At 43.7% G+C, this 20,103-nt stretch overlaps 1 pseudogene, besides 1 other annotated feature; it reads left to right on the forward strand.

The window, feature by feature from the left end:
• Positions 6,706-8,157, forward strand: MEMO1P2 (MEMO1 pseudogene 2; annotated as a pseudogene).
• Positions 13,895-14,394: an enhancer, noted in NCBI's record as "H3K4me1 hESC enhancer chr6:135226183-135226682 (GRCh37/hg19 assembly coordinates)". NCBI's record gives its function as "activates a minimal SCP1, AML or CMV promoter by ChIP-STARR-seq in naive H9 embryonic stem cells {active_cell/tissue: H9 hESC(naive)}" and the evidence as "EXISTENCE:reporter gene assay evidence [ECO:0000049][PMID:30033119]".

Below are 20,103 nucleotides of genomic sequence, written 5' to 3' on the forward strand. Positions count from 1 at the left end.
AACCTAGCTCACCTTTGAGAAGTCCTTGGGATTCGCATTGTCATTGCTTAGTCAATCTCACCTGCCTGTTTGCTTTCTTTCCTTCCTTCTTTCTGGCTTTTCTTTCTTTTCTTTCTGCTTTTAGCGCCTCCTATTTGACAATACCTATACAAGACATTGTGGGATTTCAACAACAAAAAAGTAGTGTAATAAACTCTGTCCCAAAGGTGTGCATAGGACAAACATTCAGAAAATAATTTAAAAATTACCCCTTTCCTTTTGAAAAATGATGTGTTAATGCTTTTGGTTTCTACAACCTAGTAAAAGGGAGATTCCCAAAGGTGAATTATTGATATTTAAAATTTTTTATATACAAAAATAGCAAAAGTTCATTTAAAAAATTTAAGCAATATAAAACTATAAAGCCCAGAGTAAAAGTGCCCCAATGCATGCACTCTAACATGGAAAAGAAGTCACAGATGTTATAATCCCCAGAACAAAGGCATGAGTAGTACTTTGCAGACACTTTCCCATGTTCATACACATATGGAACATATATGTAACAAAATGCTGCTTGAGTTCTCTCCTTTTGTCTTGAAATCTTGGCTAAATCTTCAAAGCTGAAGCCAGTCATTTCAACAAAGCCACACATTCTAAACACAGTGCCAAAGAGTTGCCCAAATCACCCTTTGGCCTTATAAAGAGTTGGCTAAGCTGGCCCTTCTACCTTGCCCCTCCACCCCATCTAGCTTCTAGAAGCAGAAGGTCAGTCTCCTGAAGGAGAAAGGGAATCATCCAGGTAGTGAGGTGCATGCCCAGGGAAAAAGTGCTTTGGCAGAACCAGGAATGTCCCCCTCCAATCCCTCAGCCCAATCCAACCAAAAAGGGCACCAAGAGTGCCAATCATAGAGAAGGAGGGTGTCAGCACCAAAAGGAGACTGGCATCTGTGTGCAACTGCATGCTTACTCAGCTGTGGGACTTTGTGAATGAGCCTGCAATGTGTCCCTTCACATGCGAACACCTAGAAACTGGCACCTGCTTTTCACCTGGAGATTCTGAAGGCACTAATGTCCCCATCCCCCCCTGAGGGCACTAAGGCTGACTGGAGCTGCACAGAAGAGAGAACAGCAGCAGGATAAGGCGCCACACTCACCATTCAGCATGGCAATGGTGTGTGGTCTGAGTCCCTGGTAATTAGGAAAACACAAATGTAAATAGTGAAACACCATTATCTGACAGGTTGGCAAAAATGCAAAAGATTGATAAAAATCCTGTGTTGGAAAAAGTGTGTGGAGAAAGGCACTCATACAGTACATATATGACTATGTCTTGGTCTTTTTTCTGTTGCTACAACTGAATACCACAGATCAATGTGTAAAGAATAGAGGTTTATTTAACTCACAGTTCTAGAGGCTGAGAAGTTCAAGGGCATGGCACCAGCATCTGGTGAAGGCTTTGTGCTGCCTCATAACATGGTGGAAAGTACCACAGGGCAAGAGAGGAAGCAAGAGGAAAGCAAGAAAGCCAGAGTCACTTTTTATAACAACCCACTGTGACAGTAACTAATCCAGTCCCAAGACAGCAAGAAATCACTCACTTTCTCTAGCCAGCATTAATCCCTTCATGAGAGTGGATCCCTCATGATCCAAGGGCCTCTTAAAGGTGCCACCACCTGTCAACAGCTTTACATTGAGGACTAGCCTCAACATGAGTTTTGATGGGGACAAACCATATACAAGCCATAGCTAACTACAAATATAAATACCTTCTTTGGATGACAATTGTCAGTGGCTATCAAAATGTTAAAGACATATGCCTTTTCAGCCAACAATTCCACTTCCGGCACTCTATTTAAAAAAATAATAATCTTCCGAACTTTTTGAGAGATGATTTCTATCCCATCAGTGTGGAGGTAGGAAGAGCAGAACTGGTGGGAGGCTTTGAACAAATTCACATAGGGAACAAAGAGAATGACTGTGAGGATGAAGAAGAGGAGAGTGACTAGAGATAGTTAACAGGTTGAATTAACAGGACTTAGAGGCTCTCATGGATTGAATTGTGTCCCTCAAAAATGTATATTGAATTCCTAATCCCCAGTACCCGTGAATGTGACCTTATTTGGAAATGGGGTCTTTGCTAATGTAATCCAGTTAAGATGAGGTCATATTCACACATTAGGGGGGTCCTAGTCCAATATGACTGATGCCTTTATAAAAAGAGAAGGGACACAGACATACAAGGAGAATGTCACATGATGATGGAGGTAGAGAAAGAAGCAATGCCTCTACAAGCCAAGGAATGTCAAGGATTGCCAGGATTACCAGAAAGGCATAGAACGGATTCTCCCCTGCAACCTTCAGGAAGAGCACGACCTTGCTGACAACTTGGTTTTGGACTTCTAGACTCCAGAATTATGAGAGCACACATTTCTGTCATTTCTGTTGTTTTCAGCCACCCAGTTTGTGGCACAGTGCTCCTCTTTATCCACTGTTTCACGTTCCACAGTTTTAGTTATGTGTGGTCAACTACAGTTTGAAAATATTAAATGGAAAACTCCAGAAGTAAACAATTCATAGTTTTCAATTGTGCACCATTCTGAGTAGTGTGATATGATCTCACACTGTCCACTCCATCCCACCGGGACATGAATCATCCCTTTGTCCAGCGGATCCATGCTGTAGACACTGACCACCTGCAAATCACTTAGGAGCTGGCTCCGTTATCAGATTAAAAAAAAAAAAAGGCCACAGTATATATAGGGTTTGGTACTATCAGTGACTTCAGGCATCCAATGAAGTCTCAGAACATATCCCCCGCAGATAAGGGGGAACTACTGTATTCTGTTACAGCAGCCCTGGGAAATGAATAGAGGCCAACTGGCAAAAGTGGCCAGGAACAGAGAAATCAAAGATGACTTCAGATGAGTCTGGCTTGGGCCACTGTGTCCACACTAGTCCCGTGAACTATGCTGATAGATGTAGAAAACATAGAATGGGGAGCAGCTGGGTTGGGGCAGGACATGAGTAAGGAATTTAATGTCTGATGTGGTAGGTCATGGCCCAGGGTCCACCTGTGTGGACATGTCCAGTCAGCTAAGCTGAGCAGAGAGGACAAGATAGCCTGGACTATGGGGAATGGGTCTAAAGAGATGTCAAATTCAGTTTGAAATGTGTTAGCATTCAGATTGGAAAACCTTCACCTTCATTCTCTCTAAGATGAGAGAGACCTTACTCCATGGCAGAGAAATGCACCTCTCAGCAGAAACGCACCCAGAACAAGCATGGTGAGTTCTGGGATCTAGGTCCCTTTCCTGCTGAACAAGGATCCCCATCCTCACTGACTCTTTAGAGCTAGTGTGGGTCCACTCTGGCCTCTGGGCTTCCCCGTGAGCTGGACAGCACAGCTCCTCAGAGCGTTGTGGAGACATCCTAAGAGTAGAGCCGTGAGGCAGGGTCTCGGGGGACCTGCCTCTAACTTGGGGTGTGGTCTGGCCTGGGCACTTAACGACTCAGAGCCTCTCCCTGGAAACCACTCACTGGGAAGTAACAGTGGAGCGATGCATAAAGGAAGGTGAGAACCAAAGTAACCCCATAGTTAGTTCAAGCATTTTCTTTTACAGAGGAGCAATATCAGACATGCAGAAGTTAAGTGGTGTATTCAAGGTCACAGACAAATGGGTTTTGAAGCTGGAATTGAAAAGTGCTCTTTTCATTAAAGCATTTCTAAGGTCTCTTTCAGTTTTTAAATCCTCTGGTTATAAAAGCAATTTATAAATTTATAAATAGAATGGGGTGCTAGAAGTTTCTAAATACCACCAGACACCAAAAACTGCTGTTTAAAGAGAGGAACTAATTGGAATTCATCACAATTCAGAGGCCACACATTAATTCTGTGCACTGGAGCAAGACCTGTATGGCAGATCATTTGAATGCAGGAGGTCAGTCAGATAGATTGCTTCTTTAGACCTTCAAGAACATTCAAGAACACTGTCAAAACCTTTCTATTACAAACATTTTCATGTTGGAGTTTCAATAATGTTCCCTGCTATACAGAAATGGGGCGGCTTGAAAACTTGCCCCTGCATGCCCCCATCCCAACTCAAAAAGGAAAACAAATGTGGTTGCAGCAGCTTTGCCCTAAAGTCAATATCCAGACAGAAATTGTGAAAAATAGCAACCAGTCGCTTCCCCAGGTGATCTGTTCATTTAAAATGAGCTTCCCTCAGGCCACATGGAGGTAGGCTCCAGGGTCTGAGCTAGACTTTGAATGTGTCTGACAAATGAAGAGAGAGAACTAGAGAGGTGTTCCCCTGCCACCAGCCACATCCAGATGTAATCACAGACCAAGGCTGGCTGCTGCTGGAAGCTGAGCCTTCCCAGGCAGAGAAGAAAGCAGCGACTCCTACCCTCCACCCACCCACCCATCCTAACTCCTCTTTCTCTTTTCTGTCTTGGACCATCCAGATTTCCCCCGAGCTTCCTTTCTCTTTTGTCTTCAATCTTACTCTCCCCTCTCTGCTCCTCTTTCTATCGCTTTCATATCTTCCTCTTGACCATGTCTCTTCTCCCTAATACCCAACCCCAACTCTGGTCTGTCTATTCCTGGACAGACAGAAATGAAGTCACTTTCAACCAATAAATATCAATAATTCCAATGCCATGAAAAGGCTAGTCGTATGGTAATGAGTAGAACCAATCCTCTCCTCCCAATAGGGTGCAGTGACTCCAAATGGTCATGGGCTGGCCATCATGGAATCATCAGCCCCAGGAGGATACACCAAGCTCCATAAGGCAGTGCCATCTTGGTTCTCAGGTTCTCTGAATGGCCAAACATCAAAATCACCAGAATGGAAAATTGAGCATGTATAGGAAGCTCTCCTTCCACTCCCAACATAAAGAATGGGTAGAAATATACGAGTGTGTGTGTGTGTGTGTGTGTACGCTAAATGCCACTAAACTGTACAATTGTTAAAATGGTAAATGTCATGTATATTTTACTACGATAAAAATAACGAGGACAGCCAGAGTCAATCAGTGCCAAGATAGGGAGAATATGAGGTTATAGTCATTGGAAAGAGAGGCCACCTGAGGGTGTGCGTGTGGACAGAGATAGAGATAGATAAAAGTTATGTAACATAGTCAAATTCAAAAGCAAGAAATGAAAATTTGAGAATAGGACCTTTAAGGACACAAGAGTGAGAAGGTGTTAAAGCCAGGTAGCCCTCAGTGAGTTAAGAGGAAATACGTATTTCAGAACTAGGGTTGAAGCCCCAAGCACCTGCTCAGCAGGTGTTGGAACTGTATTCTACGCATTAACAGTGAAAAAGCCAAATGCTATCACTGAAGGATGACCAGAAAACTCTACCCAAAGGTTATAAACATACTAGCATTTCTTCCAATAACTCTAGAGGCTGATCAAACCATAGCTCTAACAATGGTCCCTCTCTGAAGACTTTTATCTAGGCAGAAATCAGGACCAGAAGAATCTTTGCAATTTGCCGGGCATGGTGGCTTGCACCTGCAGTCCCAGCACTTTGGGAGGCTGAGGCAGGCAGATCACGAGGTCAGGAGTTCAAGACCAGCCTGACCAACATGATGAAACCCTGTCTCCACTAAAAATACAAAAATTAGCCTTGGGTGGTGGTGCATGCCTGTAATCACAGCTACTCAGGAGGCTGAGGCAGGAGAATTGCTTGAACCCAGGAGGCAGAGGTTGCAGTGAGCCAAGATTGTGCCACTTCACTCCAGCCTGGGCAACAGAGTGAGACTCTGTCTCAAAAAAAAAAAAAAAGAAAAAAAGGAAAAAAAAGAATCTTTGAAATGAAATCTCTTCCAACCCTGTACCTTGGGTCTCATGTTAGCAAATAAGCAGTTAGCATAGAAATAGACCTTTGGTTTGCAAAGCTGAAACTTTGGAATTTTGCCTGGAACCAATCATTACTTTATTTGCCCAAATCCTGTACCAGTCATAGGTCATATGCATCCAACAGGCACCCCTTATTGGGTTTTTATGGATGTTCATTAACAGCTCCATTGTTGGCCAGGCCATTTAGAGACACTCAGCTGGAAACACCAGCTGCTTCACCAAAGTTATGAATACGGCTAGGCCTTCCACCGAGGGTTGTAAAGCCTTAATGGAGTGGCAGCACAGTAGGGCAATTCAGGCCAATTTAGATTTTGTAGCATGTGCATAAATGACTGTTTCCTGTCCTGCTCTGATTTTTCTGTTTGAACCCTTTCCATCCACGTGGGATAGTCACCTCCAGAATACTAACCTAAGGAAGGTGGTCTCCACTTATCCAGGCTACTGACATATGGATTTACAAAGAGTTTTTCCATTCCCTCAGACGCTAATGCCTTCCCTTTGTACCGAATGCTTAACATTTACCAAATACTTTCACGGTACCATCCAGTTCCTATGAAGTAGGTAATAGGGCCGGTGTTATTATCCTTGAGATAAAGAGGTCCAGGGAGGTTTTGGGACTTGCCGAAAGATGCACAGAAAAGCTGGAGCTTGCAGGTGTCCAGTCCACTCTACCAGGTGTCCAGGTGGCCTTTTCTTCCAATGACCATGACCTTCCATTCTCCTTGTCTTGACATTGATTAATTCTGGCTCTTTATTTTTGTTGTGGTAAAATATACGTAACATAAAATGTACAATTTTTAAGTGTACAGTTCAGTGGCATTAAATATACTCACACTGTTGATTCATCCTTGTGCACCATAGGCAGCACAGGCATCAAGATGTCCAACCGAGTGGTCCGCTGGGAAGCCAGCCACTCTGGGAACTGGTACACAGCCTCAGGACCACAGCTGAATGCACAGCTAGAAGGTTGGCTTTCACAAGTAAAGTCTACAAAAAGACCTGCTAGAGCCATTATTGCACCCCATGCAGGATATACGTACTGTGGGTCTTGTGCCACCCATGCTTATAAACAAGTGGATCCGTCTATTACCCAGGGAATTTTCATCCTTGGGCCTTCTCATCATGTGTCCCTCTCTCAGTGTGCACTTTCCAGTGTGGATATATATAGGACACCTCTGCATGACCTTCGTATTGACCAAAAGATTTACAGAGAACTGTGGAAGACAGGAATGTTTGAACGCATGTCTCTGCAGACAAAGATGAACACGGTATTGAAATGCATTTGCCTTGTACAGCTAAAGCCATGGAAATCCATAAGGATGAGTTTACCATTATTCCTGTACTGGTTGGAGCTCTGAGTGAGTCAAAAGAACAGGAATTCGGAAAACTCTTCAGTAAATATCTAGCAGATCCTAGTAATTTCTTTGTGGTTTCTTCTGATTTTTGCCATTGGGGTCAAAGATTCCGTTACAGTTACTATGATGAATCCCAGGGGGAGACTTATAGATCCATTGAACATCTAGATAAAATGGGTATGAGTATTATAGAACAATTAGACCCTGTATCTTTTAGCAATTACTTGAGGAAACACCATAATACTATATGTGGAAGACATCCCTTTAGGGTGTTAAATGCTATCACAGAGCTCCAGAAGAATGGAAGAATATGAGCTTTTCCTTTTTGAATTATGCCCAGTCAAGCCAGTGTAGAAACTGGCAAGACAGTTCAGTGAGTTACACAACTGGAGCGCTCACGGTCCGCTGAAGCTCTGAATCCTCAGGGAGGCCACCTGCACATTCTCATACTCTGTCCAGGGTCCCAGCCTAGCCTTTACCAAGATACTGGTCCTAGTTTGGGGTGATTCTGAAATCTCAAACTAATAGAACTTTCTTCTCTTTTTTCCTAGTAGGCGTAGTCCTTCCTTAATTTCAACTCATTAAAAAGTGCTTTATAGTTTAGGGCAGTGGAAGGAAGGCTGGCATCAAAATATTTTGATCAAAAAAGATAACAATGTAAAGGCTCAGTTGTGGCAGACAGCTTTTTGAAAGTAACTTGAAAAGCATTTACCGTATCCTAAATTTGCACTCTTTGCAGACTTGTGCACATATATTCCGCTTTCAGAATAGTTTTGCAAATTGTACATAAACAAACAAAAAGGTAGAAGCTTTTCAATAAAGAAATTGCATTTATAAATGATCTGTATTATAATAAATCTCCAGTTATAGTCAATTACTACCCATGTTGTACAACAGATACCTTCTATTTTAGTTGCTAACAAACGGCTACACAATACAACGTAAATAAATTAATTAATTAATTCACATTGTTATGCAACCATTATCATCAACCATCTCCAGAACTTTCTCCTCATCCCAAACTGAAACTCTGTTCCTATTAAACAGTAACTTCCCATTCCCCTCTTCCCCTAGCTCTGGGAACCACAATTCTACTTTCTATTCTCTGAATTTGACTACTCTGGGAACTTCATATAAGTAGAATCATATAGTATTGGTTCTGTTTCTGGCTTTTTTCACTTGGCATAATGTTTGTGTAGTGTGTGTCAGAATCCATATTGTAGGATCATCCATATTGTAGCGTGTGTCAGAATTTCAATTCTTTTTAAGGCTGAATAATATCCTATTTCATCTCTATATACAACCTTTTGTTCATCCATTCATTCATTGAATAGGAGTGCCCTGCACTCCTATTTCCTCTTTTAGGGAATAGCACGTCCCCCCCTTATTTTTTTTTGAAACGGAGTCTCACTCTGTCGTCCAGGCTGGAGTGCAGTGGCGTGATCTCGGCTCACTACAAGCTCCACCTCCTGGGTTCACGCCATTCTCCTGCCTCAGCCTCCTGAGTAGCTGGGACTACAGGCGCCTGCCACTACGCCCGGCTAATTTTTTTGTATTTTTAGTAAAGACGGGGTTTCACCATGTTAGCCAGGATGGTCTCAACCTCCTGACCTCGTGATCCTCCCGCCTTGGCCTCCCAAAGTGCTGGGATTACAGGCGTGAGCCACTGCGCCTGGCGAACTTTTTTTTTTTTTTTTTTTTTTTTTTTTTAAGAAATTATCTTCCCCATTGGGTAAAGTCTGGTGGAAGTATTAAGATTTTCTGGGCGGAAAACAACTCAAACAGCTGCTTTCTCTTAGAACCTGAAACCCAAGCAAACTGATAAATAGAATAAAAATGAAATAGGCTTTTAGAAAATATATACACAGCTCTACCCAGGCAAGGCTGAATCGTAGTTTTGGCTACATAGAGATGTTCCCATTCTAATTCACTTCCAAGCCTGGCTTTCCACCCTTCCCTTGGATTATGCAATTTACACCATGGCCAATGTTAGATTCTGCTGCTGGAAACCAAAGAATTCTCACATTCATCAAAACTAAATAAGGGGTACCCCACTCTACAGCCTCCATTCTAGCTATGGGCATGACTTATTTCCTCCTTAAAGAATGCATCTAGGCCGGGTGCAGTGTCTCAAGCCTGTAATCCCAGCACTTTGGGAGGCCGAGATGGGAGGATCGCTTGAGGTCAGGAGTTTGAGACCACCCTAGCCAACATGGCAAACCCTGTCTCTACTAAAAATACAAAAATTAGCTGGGCGTGATGGTGGCCACCTGTAATCCCAGCTACTCGGGAGGCTGAGGCAGGAAAATCACTTGAACCCAGGAGGTAGAGGTTGCAGTGAACCGAGATCGCACCACTGCACTCCAGTCTGGGCAACAGAGCGAGACTCCTCAAAAAAAAAAAAAAAAAAAAAAAAAAAAGAATGCATCCAGTGTTTATTTTTGTATCAACTTACATAGATTTGTGGGGACAAGATGCAGAATGCAGAATGTAGGGGGTAAGGAGAGGGGAAAACAGGATAGAACTGTGGTATCCTCTATTTGTCCTGTAGATGAACTCGAATTTCCTTTAAAAACCTATTTAGATTCACCTTTGCTTATTTTTATGTCAAATCTGGGCCAAAGATATAAGGACATAGCTATCAGTATTTCCAGGCTTTACAATTCCTTCCAGTCTGGTCTCCTCAGATCTTTGAAATGCGTTTCTAGGTCTATTTCCCTAAGTGTTCTACAATACCAAATACGATCAGTAATGCTCCTGCTTTCTCCTACAAAAAAAGAATTCTATTTCCCTCAAAATATTCATTCAATCAGTCAACAAATATTAACTGAACACTTAAAATATACCAGGCACTGGGCTAAGTCTATGGACACAGCAACAAAAGGACAGACATGCCCTCTATCCTCAGGAAATGTGCCTTTCAGTGGGAGAGGTCGGTAGTAATTAAATGATAGGGCAAAAATATGTAAAATTCCAACTCAGCTAGCTGAGAACTTTGCAGCAGGATGCCACCTGGTCAGGGATGCAGAAAAGGCTTCCCCAGAAAAGGGTTACTGAAATTAGGTTTTTTGTGTTGTTTTGCTTTGAGAAGGAGTTTCGCTCTTGTTGCCCAGGCTGGAGTACAATAGCGTGATCTCGGCTCACCACAACCTCTGCCCCCCACAACCCCTGGTTCAAGCAATTCTCCTGCCTCAGCCTCCCTAGTAGCTGGGGTTACAGGCATGCACCACCACACCCAGCTAATTTTGTATTTTTCGTAGAGACAGGGTTTCTCCTTATTGGTAAGGCTGGTCTCAAACTCCCAACCTCAGGTGATCCACCCGCCTCAGCCTCCCCAAGTGCTGGGATTACAGGCATGAGCCACGGCGCCCGGCCTGAAATGAGTTTTTAAAGCTTAGTATGGCTGGGTGCAGTGGGTCACATCTGTAATCCCAGCACTTTGGGAGGCCAAGGCCAGTGAATTGCTTGACCCCAGAAGTTCAAGACCAGCCTGAGCAACATGGCAAGACCCCATCTCTAAATAATAATAATAATAAAAGACCAGTAGACTAAGCAGGGGTTACAGAGGCCTAGAGGAGGAAGAAAGGGCTTTTGCAGAAAAACAGACAGCCAAGGCAAAAGTTCTATGCTTGAAGACACCCTAGCACCTCTGTCTTATAAAATTTCTATGGAAAAACCTCCATTCTTATGTGACCTGAGTTTTCACATGAATTTTCTTTCTGAAATTGCTTTAATATGCCATACCTAATGTTGAACTCACAACAGCCCTGTTAGACCAAGAATTATCAGGTTTAGGCAAGGTCCCAGCATCTGTAGCTCATTTTTGCCCCACCTCTTTCGCTTCCTCTGCACACACATCATCCACTTGGCCTTCACCTCTAGGTTCAGCCCAGCTGAGCCTTCCTGGGCTGAGAAAGGAGCGATTCAAGGACTCCAGGTTCAAGTTGATGTGGTAACTAGCTTATCCCTGACACGGTGCCTCAGTTCTGATAATAGGTCACTAAGATAAGACTCTCTAAGTTCCCTGAAAACGTAGTAAAAACTCCCTGTCTGGATAACCCTGCCGGTGCTCCCATCACTGTCTAGCACTGGGGTTCTGCCTGGCTTTTTTCCTATCTCCCTGCTGGGAATCAGAGTCCCACCCCTGAATTCCAGCAGAGCCCTGCTGTCTAAAACCAGATTTCCTGATGCCGCACTCTGCTTGCCAGAATTTGGGAACCTCTTCTGCTTCCCACTGTAATGCCCTGGCCCTGTTAGGACAGGAGGTGCCTTTCTGCTTCCCCCTGCTTGCAGCAACCACCCCGCCTCGTGGTCATTGCCATAGTCATGCTCTCAATTCCTGTCAGAACTCTGCTGGGGATCCTGCCCTTCAGCACTTGCCTCAGTCCTTTGGGAACATCAGATGCAGGGTCCTGCCCCCTTACTAGTCTCCTACAACTAACCAGGCCATAGCCCAGTCGCACCACCAGGCCCCAGCCTGAAACACAGCAGAGCCACCTCTCCTAAACCTCTGGTCTAGGACTCTTTCACACTCCATCCAAGTAAATAAAACTAGCTCTGCAAACTGGGATTTGTGAGCTCAGATTCAGATGTCAAAAATAATTCATGATTAGAGAAGGATTTTATTTTCATTGTACTGAAAATAAAGGAGTGTCATTGTACTCAGTGTATTTCCTTGGCTTCATTGCAGAATGCTATTTTGATCAGCCATCTTCAGCCTGATGAAACTCATACTGTCTACAGAGGGACAGAGACCATGAGCCATAGACCGAGGGGCCAAGGGCTATGATGATTAGGTCAGGATATACAAAGAGATCTCACCCACTTCCCCTCCCTGAAATCAGCCAGGATTTCTGCGGGGACAGGCTGCAGAGAGCCACCGAGTTTCTCTGCTCAACTCTCAGCAGCATCATGCTCCCAGCCCAGGGCTTTCCCACACCAGGGCACTCAAGGCAGTAGAAAAGTAAAAAACATCAATTCTTTTCAGTATTGAGCAGCCCCATATAAGGAAACACTTAGCTGAAAAGGAGCCTATATTTGCCCAGCTATCTTAGCAATCACTGTACCTAGGAGGGCATTTCAGCATGAGTTAGCTCACATGCCATGTCAACAGTAACAACCAGCCGGGCTGGACTTTTTTTTGTCCTGTTTCTGATCTTCGGCACAATTTGAAAAGAAGATAAGATGGGTGTCTCCCAACATGTCCCCATTCCCTGCCACTCAACCAGAACAAAACCACTCAGCCATTTCCTTGAAAACTGCACCGGTTGCAGAAAGGCCAAGCTAGGAAAATGTGCCAGGGAACATTAGTCGTCATACCACCTCACATGATGTCTCGGGATCTGTAACCTAATACAGATCCCTATAATCTTAACACTTCATCTTATTTAGCAGTACTCAGTGACACAAACGCATGTACAGATTGCTGAGGAGTCCGTGATCCAAGCTCTGGGTACAGGCTGTTCCGACGGTATCAAAGAAATACCCTTGGGTGAGACAGAGGGAGGAGGGTGAAAAATGTTCGATGGTGCAGATATTCTTTTTTTCTTTTTTTGAGACGGAGTCTTGCGCTCTCACCCAGGCTGGAGTGCAGTGGCGCCATCTTGGCTCACTGCAAGCTCCGTCTCCCGGGTTCAAGTCATTCTCCTGCCTCAGCCTCCCGAGTAGCTGGGACCACAGGCGCCCGCCACCACGCCCGGCTAATTTTTTGTATTTTTAGTAGAGACGGGGTTTCACCGTGTTACCCAGGATGGTCTCGATCTCCTGACCTTGTGATCCACCCGCCTCGGCCTCCCAAAGTGCTGGGATTACAGGCGTGAGCCACCGCGCCCGGCCTGGTGCAGATATTTTTAAAAACCCAGAGATCTGTAGATAAATAAAGTTACAATGTAAAACATACCAAAAAATAAAAATAAGGAGAAGGAGGAGAAGAAAATGGAAGAGGAGGAGAAGAATACAAAATGAGGGAAGGTAAGGAGGCTTCCCAAATCCCCACACTCAGATTAAGTGTCCACACAAGCACACCACAACAGACACTTATTCCTGTAGGCCCTCCACCTGGTTCCATAGAGAGAGTTTAATGTTCCTTAAATGACCAGCCCCTACCTCCTCAACTTTGGTAAGCAAATTTACCACCCCTAGATGCCCACACTCCTCCTCTTATCACTTCCTCATGATTTATTACCTTTTGTTAAGATAGTGAGAGGTGACAGCGTGTTGGCAGTCCTCACAGTCCTCACTCGCTCTCGGTGCCTCCTCTGCCTGGGCTCCCACTTTGGTGGCACTTGAGGAGCCCTTCAGCCCACCGCTGCACTGTGGGAGCCCCTTTCTGGACTGGCCAAGGCCGGAGCCCACTCCCTCAGCTTGCGGGGAGGTGTGGAGGGAGAGGCGCGAGCAGGAACCGGGGCTGCGTGCGGCGCTTGCGGGCCAGCTGGAGTTCCGGGTGGGCGTGGGCTTGGCGGGCCCCGCACTCGGAGCAGCCGACCGGCCCTGCTGGCCCCGGGCAATGAGGAACTTAGCACCCAGGCCAGCGGCTGCGGAGGGTGTACTGGGTCCCCCAGCAGTGCCAGCCCGCCGGCGCTGCGCTCGATTTCTCGCCGGGCCTTAGCTGCCTTCCCGCGGGGCGGGCCTCGGGACTGCAGCCCGCCATGCCTGAGCCTTCCCCCGCCTCCGTGGGTTCCTGTGCAGCCCGAGCCTCCCCGACGAGCGCCGCCCCCTGCTCCACGGCGCCCAGTCCCATCGACCGCCCAAGGGCTGAGGAGTGCGAGCGCATGGCTCAGGACTGGCAGGCAGCTCCACCTGCAGCCCTGGTGCGGGATCCACTGGGTGAAGCCAGCTGGGCTCCTGAGTCTGGTGGGGACGTGGAGAACCTTTATGTCTAGCTCAGGGATTGTAAACACGCCAATCAGCACCCTGTGTCTAGCTCAGGGTTTGTGAGTGCACCAATCCACACTCTGTATCTAGCTGCTCTGGTGGGGCCTTAGAGAACCTTTATGTCAAGCTCAGGGATTGTAAATACACCAATCAGCACTCTGTATCTAGCTCAAGGTTTGTAAACACGCCAATCAGCACCCTGTGTCTAGCTCAGGGTTTGTGAGTGCACCGATCGACACTCTGTATCTAGCTGCTCTGGTGGGGCCTTGGAGAACCTGTGTGTCCATACTCTGTATCTAACTAATCTGATGGGGACGTGGAGAACCTTTGTATCTAGCTCAGGGATTGTAAATGCACCAATCAGCGCCCTGTCAAAACAGGCCACTGGGCTCTACCAATCAGCAGGATGTGGGTGGGGCCAGACAAGAGAATAAAAGCAGGCTGCCCGAGCCAGCATGGGCAACCCACTCGAGTCTCCTTCCACGGTGTGGAACCTTTGTTCTTTTGCTGTTTGCAGTGAGTCTTGCTACTGCTCACTCTTTGGGTCCATGCTGCTTTTATGAGCTGTAACACTCACCACGAAGGTCTGCAGCTTCACTCATGAGCCAGCAAGACCACGAGCCCACAGGGAGGACCGAACAACTCCAGACGCGCCTCCTTAAGAGCTGTTAACACTCACCGCCAAGGTCTGCAGCTTCACTCCTGAGCCAGCGAGACCACGAACCCATCAGAAGGAAGAAACTCTGAACACATCTGAACATCAGAAGGGACAAACTCCAGAGGCGCCACCTTAAGAGCTGTAACACTCACCGCGAGGGTCTGCGGCTTCATTCTTGAAGTCAGTGAGACCGAGAACCCACCAATTCCGGACACAATAGTATAAAGCCCCCCAAATTTAACCATTTCTTTGGATCTTCTTTTCTATGAAAACCTTTGTGCATGTAAATATTGAATAAAATTGGTATTTTTTTTTTTTTTTGAGACAAAGTCTTGCTCTGTTGCCCAAGTTGGAGTGCAGTGGCGTTTTCTCAGCTCACTGCAACCTCCACCTCCCCGACTCAAGCAAGTCTCATACCTCAGCCTCCCAAGAAGCTGGGATTACAGCCGTGTACTACCATGCCTGGCTAACTTTTGTATTTTTAGTAGATATGGGGTTTTACTATGTTGGCCAGGCTGGTCTCAAACTCCTGGCCTCAAGTGATCCACCCGCCTTGGCCTCCCAAAGTGCTGGGATTACAGGCATGAGCCACTGTGCGCGGCCTGTATGTCTTTTGTTTTCTGTTAATCTGTCTTTTGTCAGTCTAATTTGCAGGTCCCAGACACAAAACTTAGGGGGATAGAGGAAAGCTTTTTTCCCTCCCTTCCAAGGTATATGTCTATTCTATCCATTAAAGGAAACAGAAAGAAAAAGCTATTCAGAAGTTATAAGAAGAGCAAACTGAAATGTGATATGACTTGAATAAATAGAAGGGTAAAAGTAAAAGGAATCCATTTTTTCACCTTTTTGGGTGGATATTTTTGGCAACATTAAATTACCTTTCCATCTTTATGGATCTTACATACTATTTGATTCTGCAATTAATATTTATGTTATCTTTTGTTTGAGACAGGGTCTTACTTTGTCACCCAGGCTAGAGTGCAGTGGCACCATCACAGCTCACTGCAGCCTCGACCCCCTGGGCTCCAGCAATCCTCCCACCTCAGCCTCCCAAGGAGTTGGGACTACAGGTGCATCCCACCACACCTGGCTAATTTTGTTTATTTTTTGTAGAGATGAGGTCTCACCATGTTGCCCAGAATGGTCTTGAACTGGCCTCAAGCAATCTTCCCACCTCAGCCTCCCAAAGTGCTGGGAGTAAAAGCATGAGCTACCACGCCCAGGCTGTATATTATCTTAATATTAGGAATGTCTCTTATTGGTTTTTAGCCTTTTTTATTTAAAGTCAAGCTATACACAAAGTACAGAAAGCCAACTTAAAATTACAGAACAGAGTGCAGAAGTTACTAGCCTAGATAATGAAATTAATCAGCGGGCCAGTTGAGAGGGGAAAGGATGGAGGCCTGGGATGGTGGTCACCATCTACTTTCCTCATCTTACAGAACAGGGAGAAGGTAGATAATGTCAAAACTCGATAAATCAACAGATTAAAATTTATACATATTAAAGTTATCCATGCAACCATTAAATATCTTAATATATGTTTATAAATATATATTTTATATTTATATATATTTTTATATATAAATATATATTTTATATTTATATATATTTTTATATATAAATATATATTTTATATTTATATATATTTTTATATATAAATATATATTTTATATTTATATATATTTTTATATATAAATATATATTTTATATTTATATATATTTTTATATATAAATATATATTTTATATTTATATATATTTTTATATATAAATATATATTTTATATTTATATATATTTTTATATATAAATATATATTTTATATTTATATATATTTTTATATATAAATATATATTTTATATTTATATATATTTTTATATATAAATATATATTTTATATTTATATATATTTTTATATCTAAATATATATTTTATATTTATATATATTTTTATATCTAAATATATATTTTATATTTATATATATTTTTATATATATATATATTTTATATTTATATATATTTATATATATATATATTTTATATTTATATATATTTTTATATATAAATATATATTTTATATTTATATATATTTTTATATATAAATATATATTTTATATTTATATATATTTTTATATATAAATATATATTTTATATATATTTTTTTATATATAAATATATATTTTATATATATTTTTTTATATATAAATATATATTTTATATTTATATATATTTTATATATAAAAATATATATATTTTTATATAATATAAAATATTTTTTATTATAATAATAATAAACACCTTCCCCAGAGACAACCTGGAAAGCCTGCTCCAGGTGAGGTCAAAGGAGGACAATGTCCTCTCGTGCCCGAAGTGCTGCCGGCTGTTCAGCAGGAAGACCTGGAGAGGCAGACCCCCTGGGAACCAACTTCCCACTGCGCTACTCTTTCCCTTCTGCCTGGCACAGGGAGTGCCGGGGGCTGGTCTAGGATGATTCACCTGCCTTCAGGCCATCCATGTTAGATATTCCCATAAGCCACTGAGCTCAGACTTTTGAAAGACAATTTCAGCCAGGCGCGGTGGCTCACACCTATGATCCCAGCACTTTGGGAGGCCGAGGCGGGCAGATCACCTGAGGTCAGGAGTTCGAGACCAGCCTGGCCAAAGTGGTGAAACCTTGTCTCTACTAAAAATACAAAAATTAGCCAGGCGCGGTGGTGCATGCCTGTAATCCCACCTACGTGAGAGGCTGAGGCAGGAGAATTGCTTGAACCTGGGAGGTGGTGGTTGCAGTGAGTTGAGATGGCACCATTGCACTCCAGCCTGGGTGACAAGAGCAAAACTCCGTCTTGAAAAAAACAAAGGAAGGAAGGAAAGAAAAGAAAAGAAAGTTTCAAAGCCCTTGGTCCTTGCTTCAGATCTGCTTATCTTCTGGGAATTTCCAGCGTCCTTTGCTTGGGGGTGCCTGCAGCTGACTATGACTCCATTAATATAGGGTGGATTCACCCCTGAGATGTCCCAGGGCCAAGCCTCTCACTTCAGGCTTTGTTCATGAGGGTTTCAGTTTGTAGTGTGGGGAAGATATTTTGTTCCTGGGTATCTACAGCAAGCCTTCTGAAATGTGTGTAACAGTCCAGAACAGTCACTGTCAGTCTCTGCTGCCAAGCTTGTCGGTGCCTCGTGTCAGCGCTGACTCACCCAAAGGCCGGTGCAAATCATCATCATCACGACTCTGAGGCTTCTGCCAAACAAATCATAGGCTGCTTGCTCTTCGGGGAAGAATCGTAATTCTGATTGCAGCTGGCCATTCATCAGGTGCTGGGAATCTGCCTAATCTTGTCTGTTGGCCTAGGATATGCCAGCTCCACGCATCTGATGATGACTTTCCCATCCCACACCTCGTCGCAGCCCTCCTCCACATTCCTCAGTCCAGTCTTACCCTTGGAGCGATCAGAACATTCCAACCTCATCTCATAATGGCAGTTCATTCCAGTGTGACTCAACAATTTCCAACAAAGCCTTGAAAAATACTCCCGGAATATTAGGGATTCATGGAGTCACTGAATCATAACAAGGTTAATTGCCAGGGTTGTTGAAATCACCCTGTGTAGCTCTCTCCCCACTGCCAGATGGACAACTGAGGCATGGAGAAGCTTATTGGCTTGCCAAGGATCTTACAGCAAACAACTCCTAAACAGAACTAGAATGCAGAATATACAGAACCTATAGAAATATACAAGCATCAAAGAAGTAGAGGTATTCTGAGGATAATGACAACTAATTGCAAATTCTGATTAAGTATTTTGGAGCTCCTGCCTACATATAATAAGCAGCTGGCCTCTATGTGTTCTTAATTACAGCTGTTGGAATTGGAGTTATATGTGAAACAAGTACTCTATTTTAATATTTCAAGCTCAGACATAGTGAATGGCGGGAGAGGGTGGAAACCCCTTCCCTGGGGGACTGAAGGTAGAGTGGGGCCATCTGGGGTGGTTGGGCTGCTGTGTGGGGAGCAGCCTCTGACTCTGTGCAATTTATGTGACAGCCCCAGAGCTTCGGGCTCTGTGACTACACGTGCCAATTGCCTGCAGGAGCAGGTCCCTGCACAGAGCATAAAATGCTCTCCTGAAGCATCTTTTTAAAGTGCCCACATACCAGGTCCCAAGGACTGCCGCTGGGAAGTAAGCAGCAGGCGCTCATGAATTTCTAATAGAGGAAAAATGATTTTCATGCAACATCCTTGAGAAATCAAAGCATGTGAGAATCATCAAGATAGGTAAAAATTTGAATATCAGCATATTTATCTCTTCAGGGGATTTTTGAACAATTTCTCTGATGTTTCAAGTTCAGCAAAATACATACTTCTGAGGTCCTCTTTGCATTGATTTTAGGTATCTTAGGGGAAATGTATTCTCCCACTAATAATCTACCAGAAAGCAGCTCTGAGCGTTTCTTTCTAGTAACTCCTGGGGTCCTGAGACTTGGGACTTGGACTCAGCGGTCTGCATTCAGGTCGAGTTCAGTCATTGGGATGGAAGTGATACAGTCCCCCTTGGGAGCGATACCAAAGTGCTTACCGAGCACTTGCTTCAAGCTGAGATGACTGAACTCTCCTCCCCTCTCCTGCCCCTTCCTCTGATATCCTAAATAAAGGGAGAGAGTTCACAGCTCCTGGACAGTATTCGCAGAACATGTACTGCACCCTTTCCTCAGGATGTATTTAGTGAATCCTAATCTTGAGAAAGACTGACTCCCTGAACTTTAAGGTTAGAAATAATTAGACAAGAAAATCCCTTCTCTGGATTTCTTGTAACTGTCAAAAATGATGAGTAGTGGAAAAATGGCTTCAGGTCATACTTCTCGCTCTCCCTGAACCTTTGCACTGTATTGTGTATAAAAAGAATATAATGTCCCTGTGTCATGATAGGGTGAATGTTGCTATTTCTGCCTTTTGACTGTTCATTATCATTTGCTATCATAAGCCAAGGGCCTGATAGATAGCTGCAGAAACCTAAATAAATGCAATAATTACTCAGGACTGTTCAACCCACTCATCCTCTCATTCACCTCTCCTGTACTACAGAAAATACCTCCTTTTGTCTTGGCAAACACAATTTGGAAAAATGGTTTAAGCCCTGGCAGCAATAGATAGCTAATTATATTCTATTTTGATTGCCTTAGAGGTTAGCCAGCCAGAAAGCAACATTTCATTTCCATGTTCTGAAGAATTTTAAGGCATCCCAGTTCCATTTTTTCTTTTTCTTTTCTTTATTATTTATGTAGTTCTAAATATACATAAGCATTATCTCTCTGCTTCACATGCAGTGCTCTGAAAATGCATTCCAACACTCTTCCATTCTCCATAGAGTGCAAACTCC

This window comes from Homo sapiens, chromosome 6 (genome assembly GCF_000001405.40).
Source record: "Homo sapiens chromosome 6, GRCh38.p14 Primary Assembly".
Taxonomy (NCBI): Eukaryota; Metazoa; Chordata; class Mammalia; order Primates; family Hominidae; genus Homo; species Homo sapiens.